General features: G+C 33.3%; 1 long non-coding RNA gene across 1 annotated transcript in view, besides 2 other annotated features; it reads left to right on the top strand.

Annotated features, from left to right (window-relative positions):
• Positions 1–22399, top strand: part of LINC01609 (long intergenic non-protein coding RNA 1609) — a 137243-nt gene that overhangs the window by 84596 nt on the left and 30248 nt on the right. The window lies entirely within an intron of this gene.
• Positions 23–572: an enhancer, noted in NCBI's record as "OCT4-NANOG hESC enhancer chr8:112163265-112163814 (GRCh37/hg19 assembly coordinates)". NCBI's record gives its function as "activates a minimal SCP1, AML or CMV promoter by ChIP-STARR-seq in naive H9 embryonic stem cells {active_cell/tissue: H9 hESC(naive)}" and the evidence as "EXISTENCE:reporter gene assay evidence [ECO:0000049][PMID:30033119]".
• Positions 573–1124: an enhancer, noted in NCBI's record as "OCT4-NANOG hESC enhancer chr8:112162713-112163264 (GRCh37/hg19 assembly coordinates)". NCBI's record gives its function as "activates a minimal SCP1, AML or CMV promoter by ChIP-STARR-seq in naive and primed H9 embryonic stem cells {active_cell/tissue: H9 hESC(naive and primed)}" and the evidence as "EXISTENCE:reporter gene assay evidence [ECO:0000049][PMID:30033119]".

Genomic DNA, 22399 nt, shown 5'->3' with positions numbered 1-22399 from the left:
GAGCTTGCAAACTACTTCTTTGAAGCAACGGAGGCAGATAGAAATAAAGAAAAAAGAATTTAAATAAATAAACAAAATTTCCAAGAAGTATAGGATTATGTAAAGAGACCAAACTTATGGCCAGTGGCATTTCTGAAAGAGAAGGATAGAGACACAGCAACCTGGCAAAAATGTTTGAGGATAAATTCCATGAAAAATTTCCCAGTCTCACTAGAGAGGTTGACATGCAAATTCAAGAAATTCCGAGAGATACTATATAAGACAACCATTCCCAACACACATAGTCGTCAGATTTTCCAAGGTCAATGTTAAAGAAAAAGTTGTTAAAGATAGCTGCAGAGAAAGGGAAGGTCACATAAAAATGGAAGCCCATCAGGCTATCAATGGATATTTCAGCAGAAACCTTACAGGCCAGAAGAGATTGAGGGCCTATTTTCAACAGCCCTAGAGAAAAGAAATTGTAGCCAGTGACTTCATATTCAGCCAAACTAAGCTTCGTAAACAAAGGAGAAATGAAATCCTTTTCAAACAAGCAAATGCTAAGTGAATTCATTACCATTTTACCTGCCTTAAAAGAGATGCTAAAAGGAGTACTAAACATGGAAATAAAAGAACAATAGCTGCCACCACAAAAACACACTTAAGTACATAGCCCATTGACACTACAAACCAACTATACAATCAAGTCTGTATAACAATCAGCTAACAGCATGATGACAGGATCAAATCTTCATACATCACTATTGACCTTAAATGTAAACAGGATAAAGGCCCCACTTAAAAGGCACAGAGTGGCAAGTTGGATAAAGAAGTAAGACTCAGCTGTCTGCTATCTTCAAGAGACTCAACTCACAAATAAAATAAACTTGTGAGTTTATTTTATCAACTTAAAATAAAGGGACAGAGAAAGATCTATTAGGCAAATGAAAAACAAAAAAATTAGGGGTTGCTATTTTCATGTCAGATAAAACAGACTGTAAACCAATAATGATCAAAAAGAACAAATGAGGGCATTACACAATTATAAAATATTCAATCCAACAGAAAGACTTAACTATTCTAAATATATATGCACCCATCATCCAAGTACACGTATACATAAAACTGGTTTTTCAACATCTATTAAGAGATTTAGAAAACCACACAATAACATTGGGGGACTTGAAAACCCCACTGATGGTATTAGGAAGATCATTGAAGCAGAAAACTAACCATGATATTCAGGACTTAAATTTGACACTTGACCAATTGGACCTAATAGACGTCTACAGAACACTCCACACAATAGAATATACATTCTTCATATATGCACACAGCATATACTATAAGATTGACCAAATGCTCCACCATAAAGCAAGTTTCAACAAATTCAGAGAAATTGAAATCATATAAACTATATTCTCAGTCCACAGTGCAATAAAAATAGAAATCAATGCCAAGAATATCTATCAAAACCATACAATTGCATGGAAACCAGACAACTTTTCCTGAATGACTTTTGGGTAAAGAATGAAATTAAGGCATACATAAAAACAATGAAGCTAATGCAAACAGCCACACAATATACCACAATCTTTGGGACACAGCTAAAACAGTGTTAAGAAGAAAGTTTATAGTGCTAAACACCTACATCAAGAAACTGGAAAGATCACAAATTAAAAATCAAACATCACATCTACAGTAACTAGAAAAACAAGAGCAAACCAAGCCTAACACCAGCAGAAGAAAAGAAATAATGAAAATCAAAACTAAGCTGAATGAAATTGAGATCCAAAAATCAATATAAAAGATCAACAAAAGCAAAAGTTAGTTTTTTGAAATATTAAAGAAGATTGATGAATTGCTATCTAGGGTAATAAAGAGAAAAAGAGAGAATAACCAAATTAATACAATCAGAAACAACAAAAGTGATGTTACAATCAACCCCACAGAAATACCAAAGCTCCAGAGTGACTATTACTAACACCTCTATGCACAGTAACTAGAGAACCTAGAAGATATATATAAACTTTTGGAAACACACATCCTTCCAAGATTGAACCAGGAAGAAATTAAAATTTTGAATAGATAAATAGTAAGTTCTGAAATGTAATAATTATAAAAAGCCCGCTAAGCATAAAAAGCCCTGGGCCAGATGGATTCATAACCAAATTACAGCAAACATACAAAGAAGAGCTAGTACCAATACTACCAAAATTATTCCAAAAAAATGAAGAAGAGAGACTCCTTGCTAATTCATTCTACAAAGCCAGCATTATTCTAATACCAAAACCTGGCAGAGACACAACGAAAAGAGAAAACTTCAGGCCAGTGTGTCTGATAAACATAAATGTAAAATTCCTGAACACAATTCTAGCAAACCAAATCCAGCAACACATCAAAAAGTCAATTAATCACAATCAAGTGGGCTTTCTTCCTGGGATGCAATGGTGGTTGTGCATATGCAAATCAATAAATTGGATACATAAAATTAAAAAAAACATATGATCATCTTCATAGAGGCAGAAAAGGCTTTTGATAAAATTCAAGATCCGTTCATGTTAAAAACACTAAACAAAATAGGTATCAAATAAACATATCTCAAAATAATAAGTACCATCTATAACAAACACACAGCCACCATCATAGTGGATAAGCAAAAGCTGGAACCATTTCCATTGAGAACTGGAACAAGACAAGGATGCCCACTTTCACCACTTCTATTCAACATAGTACTGGAATTCCTAGCCAGAGCAATCAGGCAAGAGAAACAAAGGGAAGGCATTTAAAAAGGAAGGGAGGAAGTCAAATTATCTCTCTTCATGGATGATGGTTCTATACCTAGAAAACCTAATAGACTCTGCCAGAACGCTCTTAGATCTGATAAACAAGTTCAGTAAAGTTTCAGAATAAAAAGTCAATGTACAGAAATTGGCTGTATTTCTATTCACCAATAAAATGCAAGCTGAGAGCCAAATCAAGAAAGCAATCCCGTTTACAATTGCCACAAAAAGAATAAAATAGCTAGGAATACAGCTTACCAAGGAAGTGAAAGATTTCTGACAAGAATTACAAACCACTAATGAAAGAAATCAGAGATGACACAAAGAAATAGAAAAACATTCCATGCTCATGGATTGGAAGAATCAATATTGAGAAAATGACTGTACTGCCCAAAGCAATTTACAGATTCAATGCTATATCTATCAAACTACTGATGTCATTTTTCACAGAATTAAAAAAAAAACTATACTGAAAGTCATATGAAACCAATAAAGAGCCCAAATTGCCAAAGCAATACTAAGCAATAAGAATGAAACCAGAGGCATCACACTATCCAACTTCAATCTATATTACAAAGCTGTAGTAACCAAAACAGCATGGCGCTGGTATAGAAATAAACATGTGGACCAATGGAACATGATAGAGAACCCAGAAATAAAGCTACAAATCTGAAACCACCTGATCTTCAATAAAGTTAACAATTACAAACAATAGGAAACGGACTCCATTTTCAATAAATGGTTCTGGGAAAACTGGCTAGCCACATGTAAAAAAATTGAATCCGAGGCCATTTCTTTCACCATATACAAAAATTAACTCAATATTAGATTAAAGGTTTAAATGTAAGATCTAAAACAATAAAAACTCTAGAAGGAAAACTAGCAAATACCATTTTGGCATTTGGCAAATAATTTATGACTACCCAAAAGCAATTGGAACAGAAACAAAAATTGACAAGTGGGGCTTAATTAAATTAAACAGTTTCTGCATGGCAAAAGAGCTATCAACAGAGTAAACAGACAACCTACAGAGTGGGAGAAAATATTCACTGTCTATGTATCTGATAAAGATCTAATATCCATAAGGAACTTAAATACATAACCAAAAAGCAAATAACCTCATTAAAACATAGGGAAAATACATGTGGAGACACTTCTCAAAAAGACATACATGTGGCCAACAAATATGTGAAAACATACTCAGTATCACTAATCATTAGAGAAATGCAAATCAAAACCACAATAAGATACTATCTTTGGGCAGAATGTAAATTAGTTCAGCCACTATGCAAAATACTTGAGAAATTTCTCAAATAAGTTAATTAGAACTACCATTCAATCCAGCAATCCTATTACTGGGTGTATACCCAAGGAAAAATAGATTATTATGCCAAAAAGACACATGTACACATATGTTCAGTCTGCACTATTCACAACAGCAAAGACATGGGATAAATCATTTGCCAATCAGTAGTAGACTGGACAAAGAAGATCTGATACATAGACATCATGGAATACTACACAGCCGTAAAAAAGAACAAAATCATGTCCTTTGCAGCAACATGGAAGCAGCTGGAGGTCATTATCTTAAACAAACTAATGCAGAAACAGAAAACTAAATGCTGTATATACTCACTAAAATGTGGAAACTAAACACTGAATACACATGGACGCAAAGATGGGAACAACAAACACTGGGAACTGTCCCCTTGAGAGGGGAGAGTAATGGGGGTATAGGTTGTAAGGCTACCTATCGGGTACTGTGTTCTCTACCTGGATGACAGGATCATTCGTACCCTAAGCTTCAGTGACACTCAATTTACCCATGTAACAAACCTGCCCATCTATCCCCAGAACCTAAAATAAAAGTAGAAAAAGAACAAAAACTATATATATATACACACACACACACACACACACACACACAGTTATACATACACAATTCTAGCAAACCAAATCCAGCAACATATCAAAAAGTTAATTAATCACAATCAAGTGGGCTTTCTTTTATGTGTGTGTGTGTGTGTGTGTGTGTGTATATATATATAGTTTTATATATATCCACTATATATATATATAGTTTTATGTATATCCACTATATATATATATATATATATATATATATATATAGTTTTATAAATGACAGCTAAAGCAGAAGCAACATAAGAATGAAGAAACACCATGGGGTGGGAGTGGATCCATGACCATGAGGTCCATTGATGTAACATATATCATACCATCCAGAAGACTGGAGGATTTACCCAGAGGTTAATGCTCTTGTCATGGTTAAGCCAGGGAAACTTTAACATGCAAAACAGCATGCATAGGTCAAATAGAAAATCCAATATCTATTGTATTTGTCTGGAAACATAATATTTTCAATTTACTAATAAAAGTAAGGATTATGGTGCAACAAAATTGCCAAGTTAAGGGAAAACGCTTTTTTTCCCATTAGCTTTCCCATCTATATTTACACTGATTGTTTCTTTGATTCTTATTATTTCAACTCAGCTTCAATATTTGCTTTATACTGTTAATTTCTGTTAATGAATTACCAGTTACGATGATTGCCGAGGGGCAAAGTTTAATGGGATGATGTGTAACTTTAGAATTTACACTATATATATATGTGTGTATATATATATATAGTGTAAATTTTATATATATATAGTGTAAATTCTCTCTATATATATATATATAAAACTTTCATAGAATTTTTCCACAACTATGCATAGGCAAAATAATTTTCTCTGTTTGGAAAACACTACTTGCATGGAGGTACATGTTGGGCTAAAAGTATTTGATGAACTTTAAAAAGTATACACAAGAAGTGGTTTCTTTTAAGGTTTACCTTCCAGCAATGGTCAGGCTTAGCACATGTTGAATTATTAAATATTCCTCAAAGTAAATGAAATATATTACAAAAATTAGAGAAATTTTACTGTTACAATAAAGAGCTTTATTCTGAGAAAATTCTACTTACTGTTATGTGACTAAAAAAAATGCTATGTTCTTGGAATGCATACATATGCTGACAATAAAGAATATTAATTTATAAAACTGGAAAGTATTTTATAAAAACTGTTTTGGCTTGGTGCAGTGGCTCAGGTCTGTAATCCCAGCACTTTGGGAGGCCGAGGTGAGTGGATCACGAGGTCAGGTGTTCAAGACCAGCCTGGCCAAGATGGTGAAACCCTGTCTCTACTAAAAATACAAAAAAAATTAGCCAGGCGTGGTGGCAGGCATCTCTAATCCCAGCCACTCTGGAGGCTGAGGCAGAGAATTGCTTGAACCTGGGAGGCAGAGGTTGCAGTGAGCCGAGATCGCACCACTGCACTCCAGCCTGGGTGACAGAGCGAGACTCCATCCCAAAATAAAAAACAAAAACAAAAACACAACTGTTTTACGGTGGCAGAAAAAGGAGGAGAATCGTCTTTGAAAACTAAAATAGTATGTACAAAATGCCTAAGTTTAGGGACATGGATCACAAAACTTAGTTAAAAGAATAAATTAGATATATGTCAAATAAATAAGGCCCACATGTATACAGCCCTAGTTCACTAAACTTATTTGGTTGCTTTATTTAATGTTATAAATAAATCAACTGTTTTATTAATTTTCTTGATTTTTGAATGTTAAAAATGAAATAAAACTTGTAATGAAATATTGTTATATGAAAACAGCATTAGAGAACTCTAATCTGTCAATGAAGAAAAATTGTTGAAGCTTATACTATTGTACTGTTAAAGGTCAACTCCAAATCCCAGGTCAATTGACTGCAGTTTGGAAATCCAACTCTTCATGAGTGAGTAAGTTGAGAAATCTACACCAAAGGGAATCATCTTTCTAGAAGTGAAATCAAGGAATATTTGACAGAGTAGAATAAAATTTTTTTTATTCTTTATTTAAGGAGAAAACAAATACTGTTCTAATAGACATTTTCTTCACAGGAAAATATAATATGTTGTAAAATATTTTCAGTTTGTGTTTCATATAACAACATTTTAAAATGAAATAGTTGTCATAATAGATAGTCATTTTAAAATCATTTGACCTTTAGTTGTATATTAGCTTTTTAATTTGTTTCCAGTTTTTATTTTGTAAATTTCACAGTAATATTTTTTAACAAATTCTGATTGTAAACAAAAGAAATGTTGAAAAATAAAATATGAATTCTTAGTGAATTTTGGATATAATATAAATGTCTATCTACTTCATGTTAAAGAAATACATACTACATCTACTTCATGTTAAAGAAGTAGAGAGACGTTTATAAAGAAATCTATATAAACTTGTCAAAGCAGTTGTTTTAAAGTTAGAAAAATACAGTATGTTGGAATATGTTATTACAGAAAAACATATATTATGAATGTTTAAAATTAGCCATTCACAGCTTGTGAAATTTTGGGGTTTACATTGAAAAAAAATCCACAGCTGTGCTTTGTGTTTATCTTATATTAGATAACAAAATTTTGAAAATAAATATTTAACAAAAATTTAACAAAAATATGAAAATATTATTGAGATATTTATTGATTATAACTTGATGATATACAATGTCAAGTCCTTCTAGACCATTAATAAGAATATAAGATTTGCTCACATAAAGTATTATAGGAAATTTGTTTAAATATTCACCAATTGGAAATTTGATTCCATGCTGTGAGACAGACTTTTATTAAAGATTTAGCATGGACAGCTTTATGTAAACCCCACAGATGACACATGGCTCATAAGTCCTCAGACACTGTCACTGGCTTTGTCTGTTCCCTGTGACTGACATGTCAACTTTTATTTCTGAATCTGAAAATCCCTGATGCATCTATGTTTTTTGTGATTCCTGACAGCCTTACTCAAAGATGAAACAATATTTTGGACAAGTTTTGACTTACTGAATTTTGAAGTTGGAAGAGATCAGTAAAACTTTCCTATTTATAAATATATAGATAGGAAATAAGAAGTTCAGAAGTTTTAAGTGGCTAAATTTTTCTAAGGTCAAACTGACTTAAAAAAACAGGATGTATCTAACTGCTAGTTTCTACTTTCACATTACCTTTTTATTTTCTTCCCAATAGTAAGAAAAGAAGTAAGTTATGTGAACAGTAGTGTATATTTTTAAATGCTACCACCCACATCTTTCTCTGTTCACTGGCATCTCTGCACTACTAGTAGTGAGTTCAGCATCAAAAGTGAGACCAAAAATAGTCTGGATGTAGAACTAGAGCTTTGTTCTCTTCTCTGTCAGGAAAGTCACTTCAGCAAAGCTGAGAAATCAGTTATTATGTGCTAAGTGTCCATAGCTGGCAAGTGAAGTATCTGAGATAAACAAAAAAGCATAAAGAGGCAATATCCTAGGCTTTGAAGAATTTATGTTTGGGCTACGAAAATAAAAAGGAACAACTAAAATATAAATAGACAAAGATATGTGGGTGTGAGTGTGTCCAGAACCTAAAAAGGTGCCTGAGGAATGATGCAGGCATGTTAAAACAAGATAAAAGCCAACTTGTCTAGGATGTACCTACAAAATATGGGACGATTTGAATATCAATATATGTAATAGTAATGGCAGACTATACCTTAATAAATAAAGTAGAATTCATGAGGTTATACTGATATAAATAAATATATGAGTAAATGTGAGAGAAAAAAATAATTCTTCCTTAATGTGGAATGCCAGGTGGTAAATGCATAAGAACTGATGAAATTAGAGAGTCACCATTTGGCAATAATAACCGTTACAATTGACCAGAGAAAAATCATCAATTGATGTTATAATTATTGGGTGAAAAGTAACAAGAAATCGGACTTTAGTATCAAAGAATCTTTCCACAAAAGACGTATTAATTAGATACATTACTCAGATACATTGATTTGAAAATAGCAACAGGAGAAATTTGGCAGATGCCACTTTAACCATATGACCAAAATTAACATCACCAATAGTCAAAGAAATCAAAATCTTGTACCACCTGGTAAGATATAATGAGAATATAGTATCACTTCTGTGATATTTTTGTCCTTAATGTTTAACTACAATCTAAGCAGGGGAGGAAGAAGAGATGTATCAGATAACCATAAAGATACTCAACAAAATGGAAGCTTAAAGTCTTTAAAAATACTATGATCATCAAAGATAAGACTGAGGAATTGTTGCAGATTGAAGGTGACTAAGAAGACATGACAAATAAATATTAGGTGTAGTCCTGGATGTTTTAGCTGAGTTCTTTATCGGAATAGTGGGTAAAACATTAATGGGATTTATAGATTAGATGAGTAGTATTATGAGGAATATTAATTTCCTAAATTTTGTGGTTATATTATACTTTTCAAAGTATTCTAGCTAACTATTGATCTTCTTGAAGAAACAAAGAAGGAAAAAAGAGAGACACATGAAGAAAAAAAAGAGGAAATTAAAATTGTGATTCTAAACAGGTGTAAGTAGGAAGCCGCTGTAGGGTACAGAGCTGATCTTCCCAGCAGAGACCTAGAAAACTTTAGGGCAAGAGGGAATCATGACTGCACGACCTCAACTTAAATTTAATTGATCTAGAAAAAATATGTTATGCCTGCTTATTCTTCCACCCATTTATCAATCATCCTTAGTGAGGAAAAATATGATAATGCAAATGTGGTAAAATGTTAGCAATAGAAAGGAAGGGGTGTTGAATATTTTAGTGTTCTCTGTCTTATTCTTGAAAATTTTCTTCTAAGTTTGAAATTATTTCATATTAAAAAGGTAAGAAAATAATGAAAATGACACGTTTGATGTTATAAAATGTTTATGGGTAGCAATTATTAATCTAATCTGATCTATTAACAAAAGTGTTGTTGATGTTGAAAGTTGTCTCTGGTGCTTTATGACCCATTTTGAACTCGAGTAAGAAAATAGCTTGACTTTGCTTTTTGTCTCAAATCATTTCCATAGTCTACAATAAACATAAAATAAACAGCAAATAAAAAGTCATTAGCAAATAAATAAAGCAAGAAGTGCCCATTAAGATGATGTATACCATAAACACATTTACTTACATACATATTCCAATATCAAATTCCAACAATGCAAAAAATGCAATACTTTCGCACTCACCTTATAGCGTCATATCAAGGAAAAAGGCAGTGAAGAGCATAGAAAAGAAAATTTCAAATTTTCTACAACCACCCCTCTCCCATTCTCCAAAAGTTCCACACAGCAGGGGAAGAGAATCAGTGTGCTTGGGGAAGAGAGAGTGAAGTGATTATAGGACTTTGCATTGGAACTCAGCACTGCTAAGTCAGAGAAGAAAGCAACAGAGGGTAGAATTCACCCAGTGGCCACAGAGGGAGCATTTAAACTAGCCCTGACCAGAGGGGAATCATCCATCCTAGAGGTTGGAACCTGAGTTCCAGCTAGCCTCACCACAGTAGGGTCAAGTAAACTGGGGTCCCAAATAAACTTGAAAGTCTGGGCCACAAGGACTGCAATTCCTAGGCAATTCCTGCTGCTATACTGGGCTCAGAGCCAGTGGACTTGGGGTGAACACATGCAGTGGGACACCCGCTGGGGAGTGCTGTGTCACCCATCCTCTACCTCCATATGGTCTGGAGTTGCTCTGGGAGAGACTCCTTTCTTCCACTGTGGGAGAGGAGATGAGACAGTAAAGAGGATATTTGTCTTGCAACTTCAATACCAGTTTAATCATGGTAAAATAAAGCATCGAGCAGAGTCCTGAAGTTCCCATTCCAGTATGCTTATGGATGATATTTCTAGTCCCACCCTGGGCCAGAGGGAACCTTCTGTCACGAAGGAAAAAATGCACTCTTTGCAGAAGTCATCTCCTGCTGACAAAAGAGCCCTAAGGCTTTGTATAAGCATCAGTGGTAGCCATAGTTGCCATAGGCGTGAGGTAATAATGGCCATGAGGAGACTTCTGCCTGAAGAAAGGATAGTGAAAAATAAAGAGGACTTCATCATGTAAATTCAGTACCAGCTGAGCCATAGCAAAATAAACACCAAACAGATTCCTAAAGTCCTGATTCCAGGCCCTAGTTCTTGGACAACATTTCTAGATCCACCCTGGGTCAGAAGGGAACCTGTTGCCCTGAAGGAAAAACCTATTCCTGGGAGGATTCATCATCTGCTGACTAAAGAACCCTACGGTCTTGTGTAAACATCATCTGTAGCCAGGAAATGGTTTCTACAAGCCTTGGGCAAGACTCAGTACTGTGCTGGCTTAAGATGTACCTCTCCTCAATTCTAGGCAGCTAGACATGGAAAAAGACAGTGTTTGTTTGGGGGAAAGTAAGGGAAGAGAACAAGAGACTGCATTATAATCCAGGAAATTCTAGACCTTACCCAACACCACCATGGCATCACTTCAAGGAGTCACGGTGTTACTGGGCTTGTGGTGCCCCCTAATGAAAATACAGGTGCAGTGACCAAAAAGCTAGACCACAATACTCAATTCCCTTTGAATATCTGGAAAGCTTTCTCAAGAATATGGGGACAAACAAGCCCAGACTCTGATTAGAATATGTAACTAACTTTTCAATGCCCAGACATTGACAAACATTCACAAGCATCAAGACCATCCAGGAAAACATACCTCACCAAGTGAACTAAATAGGTAACTGGTGACCAATCCCAGAGTGACAGAGATAGATGACCTTTCAGAGAGACAATTTAAAATAGCTGTTTTGGGGAAGTTTAACTAAATTAAAGAAAACACAGAGAAGGAATTCAGAATCTTATCAGATCATTTTAACAATGAGGTTGAAATAATTTTAAAATCAGGCAGAAATTCTGGAGCTGAAAAATTTTATTGAGGAATATGTCAGAGTCTCTCAACAGCAGAGTGGATCAAGCAGAATAAAGAATTAGTGAGATTGAAGAAACGCTATTTGGAAATATACAGGCAAAAGGATCAAAAGAAAACAGAATAAATAGGAATGAAGCACACTTACAGAGATCTAGAAAATAGCCTTAAAATGGCAAATCTCAGTTACTGGCCCTAAAGAGGAGGTAAATTGAAAAATCAGGAGAGAAAGTTTATTCAAAGAGGTGATAACAAAAAACTTTCCAAACTTAGAGAAAGATATCAATATCCAAGTACAAGAAGGTTATACAACACCAAGCAGATTTAACTCAAATAAGAATACCTCAAGACATTTAATAATAATCTCCCCCAAATCAAGGATAAAGAATGGATACTAAAGGCAACAATAGAAAAAAAAACAAGCAACATGAAAAGAAGCTCCAATACATCTAGCAGCTCACTTCACAGTGCAAATCTTACACGACAGAAAAAAAATGGCATGGTATATTTAAAGTGCCAAAGGGGAAAAAAACTTTTTTTTCCTTGTATTTTTATCCAGCTAAAATATCCTTCAAACATGAAGGAGAAATAAAGACTTCCCCAGACAAACACAAGCTGAGGGATATCACCGACACTAGACTTTTCTTACAAGAAAGGAAGAAAGAAAGACCACAAAACAACAAGAAAACAGAGGGGCTGAATGGATTAAAAACAAAACAAAACAAAAAACAGAAACCAAGATCCAACTATTTGTTGCCTACTAGAAACACTTCACCTACAAAGCTGTACATAGAGTGAAAATAAAGAGTTGGAAAAAGATATTTCATGCAAATGGAAACAGAGCAGAAATTAAGAGCAAGAGTAGCTATAATTATATCAGACAAATTAGATTTTGAGACAAAAACTATAAAAAGATATAAAGAAGATAATTATATAATAATAAAAGGCTCAATTCAGCAAGAGGATGTAACAATTATAATACATATGCACCCAACATTGAAGCACCAAGATATATAAAGCAAATATTAGAGCTGAAAAGAGAGATAGACCTCATTACAATAATAGCTGGAGACTTCAACACATCACTTTTAGCATTGGAAATATAACCCAGAGAGAAAATCAGCAAAAAGAAAAAATCAGATTTAATTTGCACTATAGGACGAATGGAACTAATGGATATTACAGAACATTTCATCCAATGGCTGCAGGGTACACATTATTCTCCTCAGGACATGGATCATTCTCTAAGACAGATCATACCACAAAACAAGTCTTAAAAATTCACAAAATTTGAAAATCATATCAAGAATTTTCTCTGATCACTGTGGAATAAAACTAGAAATCAATAACAAGAACTTTGGAAACTATACAAACACATGGAAATTAAACAATATGCTCCTGAATGACCAGTGGGTCAATGAAGAAATTAAGGAGAAAATTGAAAATTTTCTTGAAACAAATGAACATGAAAATCCAACATACCAAACCTATAGGTTATAACAAAACCAGTACTAAGTGGAAAGTTTAGAGCAGTAAGTGCTTACATCAAACAAGTACAAAAACTTCAAATGAACAACCTAATGATGCATCTTAAAGTACTAGAAAAGCAAGAGCAAACTAAATTCAAAATTAGTAAAAGAATAGAAAGAATAAGGATCAGAGCAGAAATAAATGAAATGAAAATTTAAAAAATTCAAAAGATCAATGAAATGAAAGGTTGTTGTTTTTAGATAAGTAAAATTGACACATTTTTAGCCACAGTAACTGATTAAAAAAGAGCAAATATTTAAAGAAATAAAATTAAAGATGAAAAAGGAGATACTACAACCAATACTGCAGAAATTCAAAGGATCATGAGAGACTACTATGAGTAATTACATGCCAATAAATTGAAAAACCTAAAAGAAATGAACAAATTTTGAAACACACACAACCAACAAACATTGAATCATGAAGAAATCCAAAACCTGAATAGCCCAATAACTAGGAGCAAGATAAAAGCCATAATAAAACGTCACCCAGCAAACAAAAGCCTGGGACCTGATGACTTCACTGCTGAATTTTACCATTTAAAGGAGAACTAACAGCAATCCTACTGAAATTATTCTGAAACATAGAGGAAGAGAGAAACTTCCAAATTCATTCTATGATGCCAATATTACTCTGATACCAAAACCACACACAGACACATAAAGAGAAGAAAACTACAGGCCAGTATCTCTGATGAACATTGATGCAAAAATCCTCAACAAAACACTAGGCAAAATGAATTCACGACACATTTAAAAGATCATTTGGCCAGGCATGGTGGCTCGGGCCTGTAATCCCAGAACTTTAGGAGGTGGATCATGAGGTCAGGAGATTGAGACCATCCTGGCCAACATGGTGAAACCCCATCTCTACTAAAAATACACACACACACACACACACACACACACACACACACAATTAGCTGAGCATGCTGGCACACGTTTGTAGTCCCAGCTACTCAGGAGGCTGAGGCAGGAGAATTGCTTGAACCCGGGAGACGGAGGTTGCAGTGAGCTGAGATTGCGCCACTGCACTCTGGCTGGGCGACAGAGTGAGACTCCGTCACAAAAAAAAAAGAAAAAAAAGAAGTAGATTATTTATTATTGACTCAGTGGGATGCAAGGATATTTCATCATATGAAAATCATTCGATGTGATACATCATATCAACAGAATGAAGAACAAAAAACATACTACAACTGATGATGAAAAAGCATACACTCCTTCACAATGAAAAGCCTCAAAAACTGGGTATAGAAGAAGCCTACCTGAAAACAATAAAAGCCATATATGAGAGACCCACAGCTAGTATCACACTGAATATGAAAAAACTGAAAGCCTTTCGTCTCAGATATGGAACATGACAAGGGTGCCCACTATTACCACTGTTATTCAACATAGTACTGGAACTTCCAGCTACAGCAATCAGAAGGAAAAAAAGGATATCCAAATTAGAAAGAAATAAGTCAAATTATCCTTGTTTGCAGATGATATAATCTTATATTTGTAAAAAACCTAAAGACTCCACCAAAAAACTATTAGAACAGATAAATTCAGTAAAGTTGCAGATACAAAATCAACACATAAAATCAGTAGCATTTCTATATGCTAACAGTGAGCTATCTGAAAAAGAAATAAAGAAGTAATCTCATTTAAAATAACTAGAAATAAAATAACATACATAGGAATAAACTTACCAAAGACGTGAAAAATCTCTACAACAGAAACTATGAAACACTGTTGCAAGAAATTAAAGAGGAAACCAAAAAAGAAAAGAAAGATATTCTATGTTCATAGATTGGAAGAATCAATATGGTTAAAATGTCTATACTATCCAAAGAAATCTATAGACTCAATGCAATCCCCATCAAAATATCAATAATATTATTTACATAAATATTAAAAATAATTCTAAAATTTATATGGAATCACAAATGACTCAAAATAGCCAAAGACATTCTGAGCAAAAGAATAAAAAATTGCCATATCTGATGGCACACACTTGTAGCCCCAGCTACTGGGAAGGCTGAAGTGGGAGGATTGCTTAAGTCCAGGAGTTAAAGGTTGCAGTGAGCTATGATCACGCTACTGCATGCCAGCCTTGGTGACAGAGCAAGACCTTGTTTCTATATTTTTTAGAGGATAAACCTGGATGAATCATATTACTTGAATTCAAATTATACTAGAGAGCTATAGTAACCAAAACAGCATGGTATTGGCATAAAAACAGGCACATAGACCAATGGGAGAAAATAGAGGACGTGGCAAGAAATCCATCTGCAGCGAGCTCATTTTTGACAAAGGTGCCAAGAACACACATTGGGGATAGGGCATTCTCTTCAATAAATGGTGCTGGGAAAATTGAATATCCATACACAGAAAAATAAAACTAGACTCCTATCTCCCATCATATGCAAAAATCAAATAACAATGGATTAAAGACTGAAATCTAAGACCTCAAACTGTGAAACTACTCCATGTAAACATTGGGGAAACTCTCCAGGTATTAGTCTATGCAAAGTTTTATTGAGCAATGCTCAAAAGCACAGCAACCAAAGTAAAAATGAACAAATGGGATCACGTCAATTTAAAAAGCTTCTGCACAGCAAAACAAAAAAATCAACAAAGTGAAGAGACAATCCACAAAATGGAAGAAAATGTATGCAAACTATTCATCTGACAAGATATTAATAACCAGAATATACAAGGAGCTCAAACAAATCAATAGAAAAAAATCTAATAACCTGATTTAAAAATGAGCAAAAGATCTTAATAGACATTTCTGAAAAGAAGATATACAAATGGCAAACAGGTATTTGAAACGGTGCTCAACATCATTGATTTTTAGAGAATTGCAACTCAAAACTAAAATGATATATGATCTCACCTCAGTTAAAATGGATGGCTTTTATTCAAAAGACAGGCAATAACGAATGCTGGCAAGAATGTGGAGAGCAGAGAACCCTCATTTACTGTTGGTGAATATGTAAATTAGCTCAGCTGCTATAGAGAACAGCTTGGAGGTTTCTCAAAAACTAAAAGTAGAAGTATCATATGATCCAGCAATTCTACTGCTAGATATGTACACCAAATAAAGGAAATTAGTATATCAAAGAGCCTTCTGTACCCCACGTTTATTGTAGCACTATTCACAATAGCCAAGATGTGGAATCAACTTTTGTGTCTATCAAGAGATGAATGGATAAAGAAAATTTGGTACATATAAACAATAGAATGTTATTCAGCCACAAAAAGAATGAGATCCTGTCATTTGCAACAACATGGATAGAACTGGAGGATGTTATATTAAATGATGTAAGTCAGACAAAGAAAGATATACTTCACATGTTCTCATTCATTTGTGGGAGCTAAAAATTGAAATAACTAAACTCATGGAACTAGAGAGTAGAATGAAATTTACCACAGGCTGGGAAGCATAGCTGGGGGGAGGAAGTGGGGTGGTTAATGGGTATAAAAACATAGTTAGATGGAATTAATAAGATCTAGTATTTAATAGCATAACAAGGTGGCTACAGTCATCTATAATTTATAGTACATTTAAAAATAACTAAAAGACTTTAATGGAAATATCTGTAACATAAAGAAATTATAAATGCTTTAGGTGATAGATACCCTCATTTACCCTGATTTGATTATTATACATTGTATGCCTGTATCAAAATATCTCATGTACCCCATGTATATACTTACCTACTATGTACACACATACATTAAAAATAAAAAATAAAGCTATTAGAGATAAAAACAGCCTGAACATTTGTCTTACCCTTTTGAACTAATAACAAAAACAAGAAGAAATGAAATGAAAAGAAAAGAAAGAAGGAAGGGAGGAAGGGAGAAAGGGAAGAAAAGAAAGAGGGAAAGAAAGAGAAAGAAAGAAAAGAGGAAGAGAAAAAGAAAGAAAGGAAAGAAAGGAAAGAAAGAAAAAGAAGAAAGAAAGAAGAAGAGGAGGAGGAGCGAAGGAAGGAAGGTAGGAAGGAAGGAAGGAAGGAAGGAAGGAAAGGAAAAAGAGCAAAAGATTTTTGCTTGTTAACTTCCTTTAAGATTAAAAGTTTACTGATTGTATAGTAGTTGCAGAATATATAAATATATAATGCTTCCAATTATAAAGCATTACTTTGAATTATCATAATTATCACTGATTTTTGTGAGTTATATTTATTAACTTCAGTTTTATGTATGAAAAAATATTTTCAACTTTTTGAATACATCCATTAGATACTTACACTAATTTTAATGTTCCAACTAAATTTTTTGTTATTTTCTGAAGAGATAATTTTGAAGTTATGTCTAATTGAAATTACATTAAAATGTTGTAATTGTTGGATAATCATGTTATATTTGACTGTGTTATATTTGACATCATAATTCAGTGCCTCCAATCAAATTTCTATTATTATAACTTTGTAGGCAAAATCAATTCTTTTACTTTTCTTTGTAGTAGTTTCAAATTCACAATATTACAATATGAGTGTCTGAATTAAAAAAAGCTTACGTTTGAAAGTTATAGGTAGTGTAACCCTCTTAATGCATTGTAATAATTTGTTTTCAATTATATATACATACATTTATACCTATGTGTATGTATTTCTGTATATGTCTGTCTGTGTATATAAAATCACTTATCCTTAATACACTATGTGCCTAATATTTTTGTAGTACTAATTATAGTAATTAGGGAGATAATAATTTTGATTACTTCTTTTATTATGTAATGTTGTATTGTGTGCAACATTCATGTGTTAAAAATGTTTCACTATCTCATGTAATATTTATAATTAGTTAAATGTCACTTATTTTTAATTGTGATAAAAAGCATAACATGAGGTCTACCTTCTTAACAAACTTTTAAGTGAATTGTACAGTATTGTTAATTATAAGCACTAGTTACACAGCAGATCTCTAGAAATGTTTTATACTGTATAACTGCTTGTATATATTTTTGTATAAAACCATTGTACAGCAACCCCCTCTTTTCCTCTCCTCTTATCCTGTAGAAACCAGCATTCTGCATTCTGCCACTATGAGTTTGACTACTTTAAATAGTTCATATATGTGATATCACGCACTATTCGTCATTCTGTGACTATTACACTTAGCATAATGTACTCAAGGTTAATCTACTGAGTACATTATGAGTACATTTTAACTCATGGTTGCATATAACATGGTTTACTTTCTTTTTAATGCTGAAAAATATACCAAACCTCCTTTATTGATTCATCAATCAATGACCATTTACTTTGCTTCCACAACTTTGCTACTGTGAATAATATTACAAATAAATGTGGATGTGCAAATATCTCTTTGAGATCCTGATTTCAATTGTTTTGGATATATATCCAGAAGCAGGCTTGCTGGATCGTATGGTAGTTATACTTTTAATTTTTTGAGGAATTTCCATATTGTATTCCATAGCAACTGTACCATTTTATATTCCCACAAATAGTGCGAAAATGTTTCAGTTACTCCACATCTTTGCCAACACTGGTTTGTTGTTTGCTTTTCGGTAATTACCATCCTATTAGGTGTGAGGTGATACTTCATTGTGGTTTGGATTTGCATATCTCTGGTAATTAGTGATGGTGCGCCTCTTCTTATATACTTTTTGGATATTTGTATGTCGTCTTTGAATAAATGAATATTCAAGCCCTTTGTTAATTTTTTAAATCAGGTTATTAGGGTTTTTAAAATGTAGATATAGGAGTTTCTTATATATTTTGGAGATTAAATCCTTTTGAGTTTACAAATATTTTCTCCAATTCTATACATAGTTTTTCACTCTGTTCATTATTCTTTTACTGTGCAGAACTTTTTAGTGTGATGTAGCCCCACTTCTCTGTTTTTGCTTTTGTTGCCTATGCTTTTGACACCTAGCCAAGAAATGATTGTCAAGTCCAATGTCATGATTCTCTCTTCTCATGTTTTCTTTTAGAAATTTTAGAGTTTTAGGTCTTATGTTAAAGTTTTTTCATGAGTTGATTTTTGTGTATGGTAAGATGAAAGTCCAATTTTATTCTTTAGAATATGGATATCCAGTCTTCACAACAGTGTTTGAAGAAACTGTCCTTTCTTTATTGTGTATTATTTTTACCATTGTTAAAAATCGATTAACTGTATATGTGTGGCCTTATTTCTAGTCTCTCTATTCTGTTTCATTACTCTGTCTTTATGCCAGTACCATACTAATTCAATTACTGTAGTTATATAATATGTTTTGGAATCAGGAAGTATGAGCTCTCCAGCTACATTCACTTTTTCTAGATTTTTATGGCTATTCTGGGTCTTTTGTGGTTCCATATAAATTTTATGGATATATTTTATATTTCTATGTAAAAATATTAGTTGACTTTTAATAGGGATTATTTAATTTAATAAAGATTAATTTAATATGTGGGTTGTTTTGGATGGTAGGGATGTTTTACTTATATTAATTCTTCTGATATATAAATATGGGAGGTCTTTCCATTTCACTGTGCCTTTAATTTCTTGTTGAAATTCTCATTTTGTTCACACATTATTGTTCTGAGATCACTGACATCTTTATGATGATCATTTTGCATTCCTTGTCAGGAAATTCACATATCTCCATTTTTTTAGGGTCAACATCTGGAAGTCTATTGTGTTCATTAAAAAAACATTTTTCCGATTCTTCATGATTCATGACAGATTTTTGCGGGATTCATATGTTTGAAAAAGAACTTTCCTCTCCGAGTCTTTAAGGACTGAATTTGTAAAATGAAAGACATCAATCAACCTGGCTAGAGATTCTAGAGGCCTCTCAATTTTTTTCTTTGGATGTGTCTTCTCCAGATTTGTGCATGTAATATCCTATAGGGATTTATTACCTTTCTTTTTCAAAACTCTGTAATCTCTTATTCTCTCCAGTATTTGTCTGTTGTGCCAGGGGTCTTCTGGAGCAGCTGTACACCATCCGACTCTATTTTTTGTTTTCAGTGACCCCCAGTCATGTAGCGTATCTCAGATAATCTCCCCATCACCATATGTATGAACACTGGGCTTATATTTCAGTCTCATATTTATCTACCTGAGGAGAATCTGGGGCCTGATAATTTTCCTGATCCTGTTATGCTGAGTTGGCAGAATGAGCAATGGCCAGTGAGTGCATACTGGTAAATCACCACCTTGGCTCTCAGCAGTTCCCAATAGGGGCCCTTTTCTGTTAGCTCTCAGATTCAGGCAAGACAGAAACCAGTCTCTTGGTCAGTCTCCCAAGAGTCAAAATATTGAACTTACAGTCTAGTTCTCTCCTTCCCTCCCCAAGAAGACTGAGAGCCAGGAGTTTTCTCCCAATTTGGCAATTGCCAAATAATTGGCAATTGTTTGGCAATGTACTGAGGGGAAAGTTATAGTGAGATAACTTTACAAATTTTCCTACCAGTTTTGGTGGTTGGTTTCACACTTGCTCACAGAGCATGAGCCTCTTAATTGGTCTCTGAATTTCTTACAAAAAGGATTTTCTGTATATTACTAAACTCGTGTGCCTGTGGGATGAGGAAACCCAGGGCTTCCTAATTCTCCATGTTGCTGATATCACTGACAAATTTTACAAGTGAGGAAAATGAATTTCAGAGCAACCAATGTACTTTACCAATGCCACACAGGTATAAAATATCCAAGATTTAACGGAAACACAAGGCTTTTCCCTTTTTTTTTTCTGTGCATGTTTGGGGTGCTGAGTTGGTTCTATCTCTACTCATATGCCTTCTTTATGACACTATAAAATGAAAAACCTGTGTTCACGGTTCATCCTTTAGTCACATGAAAATAACAAATTTAATTGAGCAAGCTGCATATTTAGCCCACAATTTGTAATTATCTTCATTTACTGATATATTATAATTTTAAAGTTTAGATCTTAGAAAATTAGACCAACTCCTCTTAGGAATTGTTCTGTCATTCCCGAAAGATATAACGAAGATTAAGAAAAATGTTTTCATCTTTGATCAATAATTATAATTTTAAAATTATATTTATTTAAACTGTATCCTGTCTCCTACAGAATTCCAAAGAAGATTGCTCATCTAGTGAATAAAAATCAATGATTATTTTCAAATTTCATGTCCATATCTTTATGATTACAAGTCACTATTTTTCACTGTTTGACTTCTTAATAACATATTTAATTCAACTTTATTTTTGGTTCAAATATTTTGCATCTACTCTGTGACTTCTTTGCACTGCATCTCCAAGTACATGTGGTCATTAGTGCCCAGTGATGGTATTCAGAATCAAGTCAATGCATTTAGGCATGTAACCAGTAAGGAAAAGTGCCTCTTTACTTAAAAACAGACCTTTCTTCATAGTCTGATGAATGTTTGTAAATTTTATGGATGCAATTGTGTCTATTTAGTTTGATAGATGATTATTCAAATGAGGCATGAAGAAATAAAAAAAGTAGATGAAATTCACAAGGTCATAGACTTGTGAAATATGATGAACTTGATTAAAGGTGACAGGCTTCTTAAAGAATGTATGCATGAATCATATATCATTTCTAATAATTTACAAAAAGGCTGCAAATTCATGTGGAGCTTCATTAATTATGACAGATAAAATATAGCTACAGATGCAAAATGGGAGATCTGTGAATAATTTGGCACTATGTTAACTAAATAATAAAGTTTTAGCATCCCTAAATCATTTTTGAGCACTAACATGACCACCCCAGAGGAAAATTCAACACGTACTTACCACAAATTTCTTTTCATGAACAAAATTATTTAAAATATTATATAAAATTACTTTCAGAGTATGTATATAAGGTGTTTATAAAATATAAATGAATTTTATGTTTAAACTTGGGTCTTATTATGTATAGGCAAATATTGCAAAAATTTTTGAAATTCAAAATTCAAAGCACTTCTGGTTCCAAGCATTTTGAATAAGGGACACAACACATGCACCTTTGTGCACATTAAACAACAATAACAAATCACCCCTATTATCCAAAAATATACTGAAAAAAGATACCATTTTTATTGCTGATCATTTTCCTGTTTTCCTCCTTTACTATATTAATTTTTGAGATATTATATTAAAATATATATATTTTAAACTATCAAATATTTTAAGCAGCTGTTAAAATTCAATTCAAATTGAAAATCTTTTGAAATGGTTCAATTTATGTTTTGGTTTGACATGCATTTTAAAATATTGTAATAGACTTTAGGTTTTAGGGCAGTTTTTGATTCACAGTAAAATTGAGAATGTACAGAATTCCCATATACCTCTGGTTCCTTTCTCAGCACACTACACCCAACACAAAAACAGT

The sequence above is a fragment of the Homo sapiens genome, chromosome 8, assembly GCF_000001405.40.
Source record: "Homo sapiens chromosome 8, GRCh38.p14 Primary Assembly".
NCBI lineage: Eukaryota > Metazoa > Chordata > Mammalia > Primates > Hominidae > Homo > Homo sapiens.
Note: the sequence above shows the minus strand (reverse complement) of the source record. Positions and strands in the feature narration are given on the sequence as shown.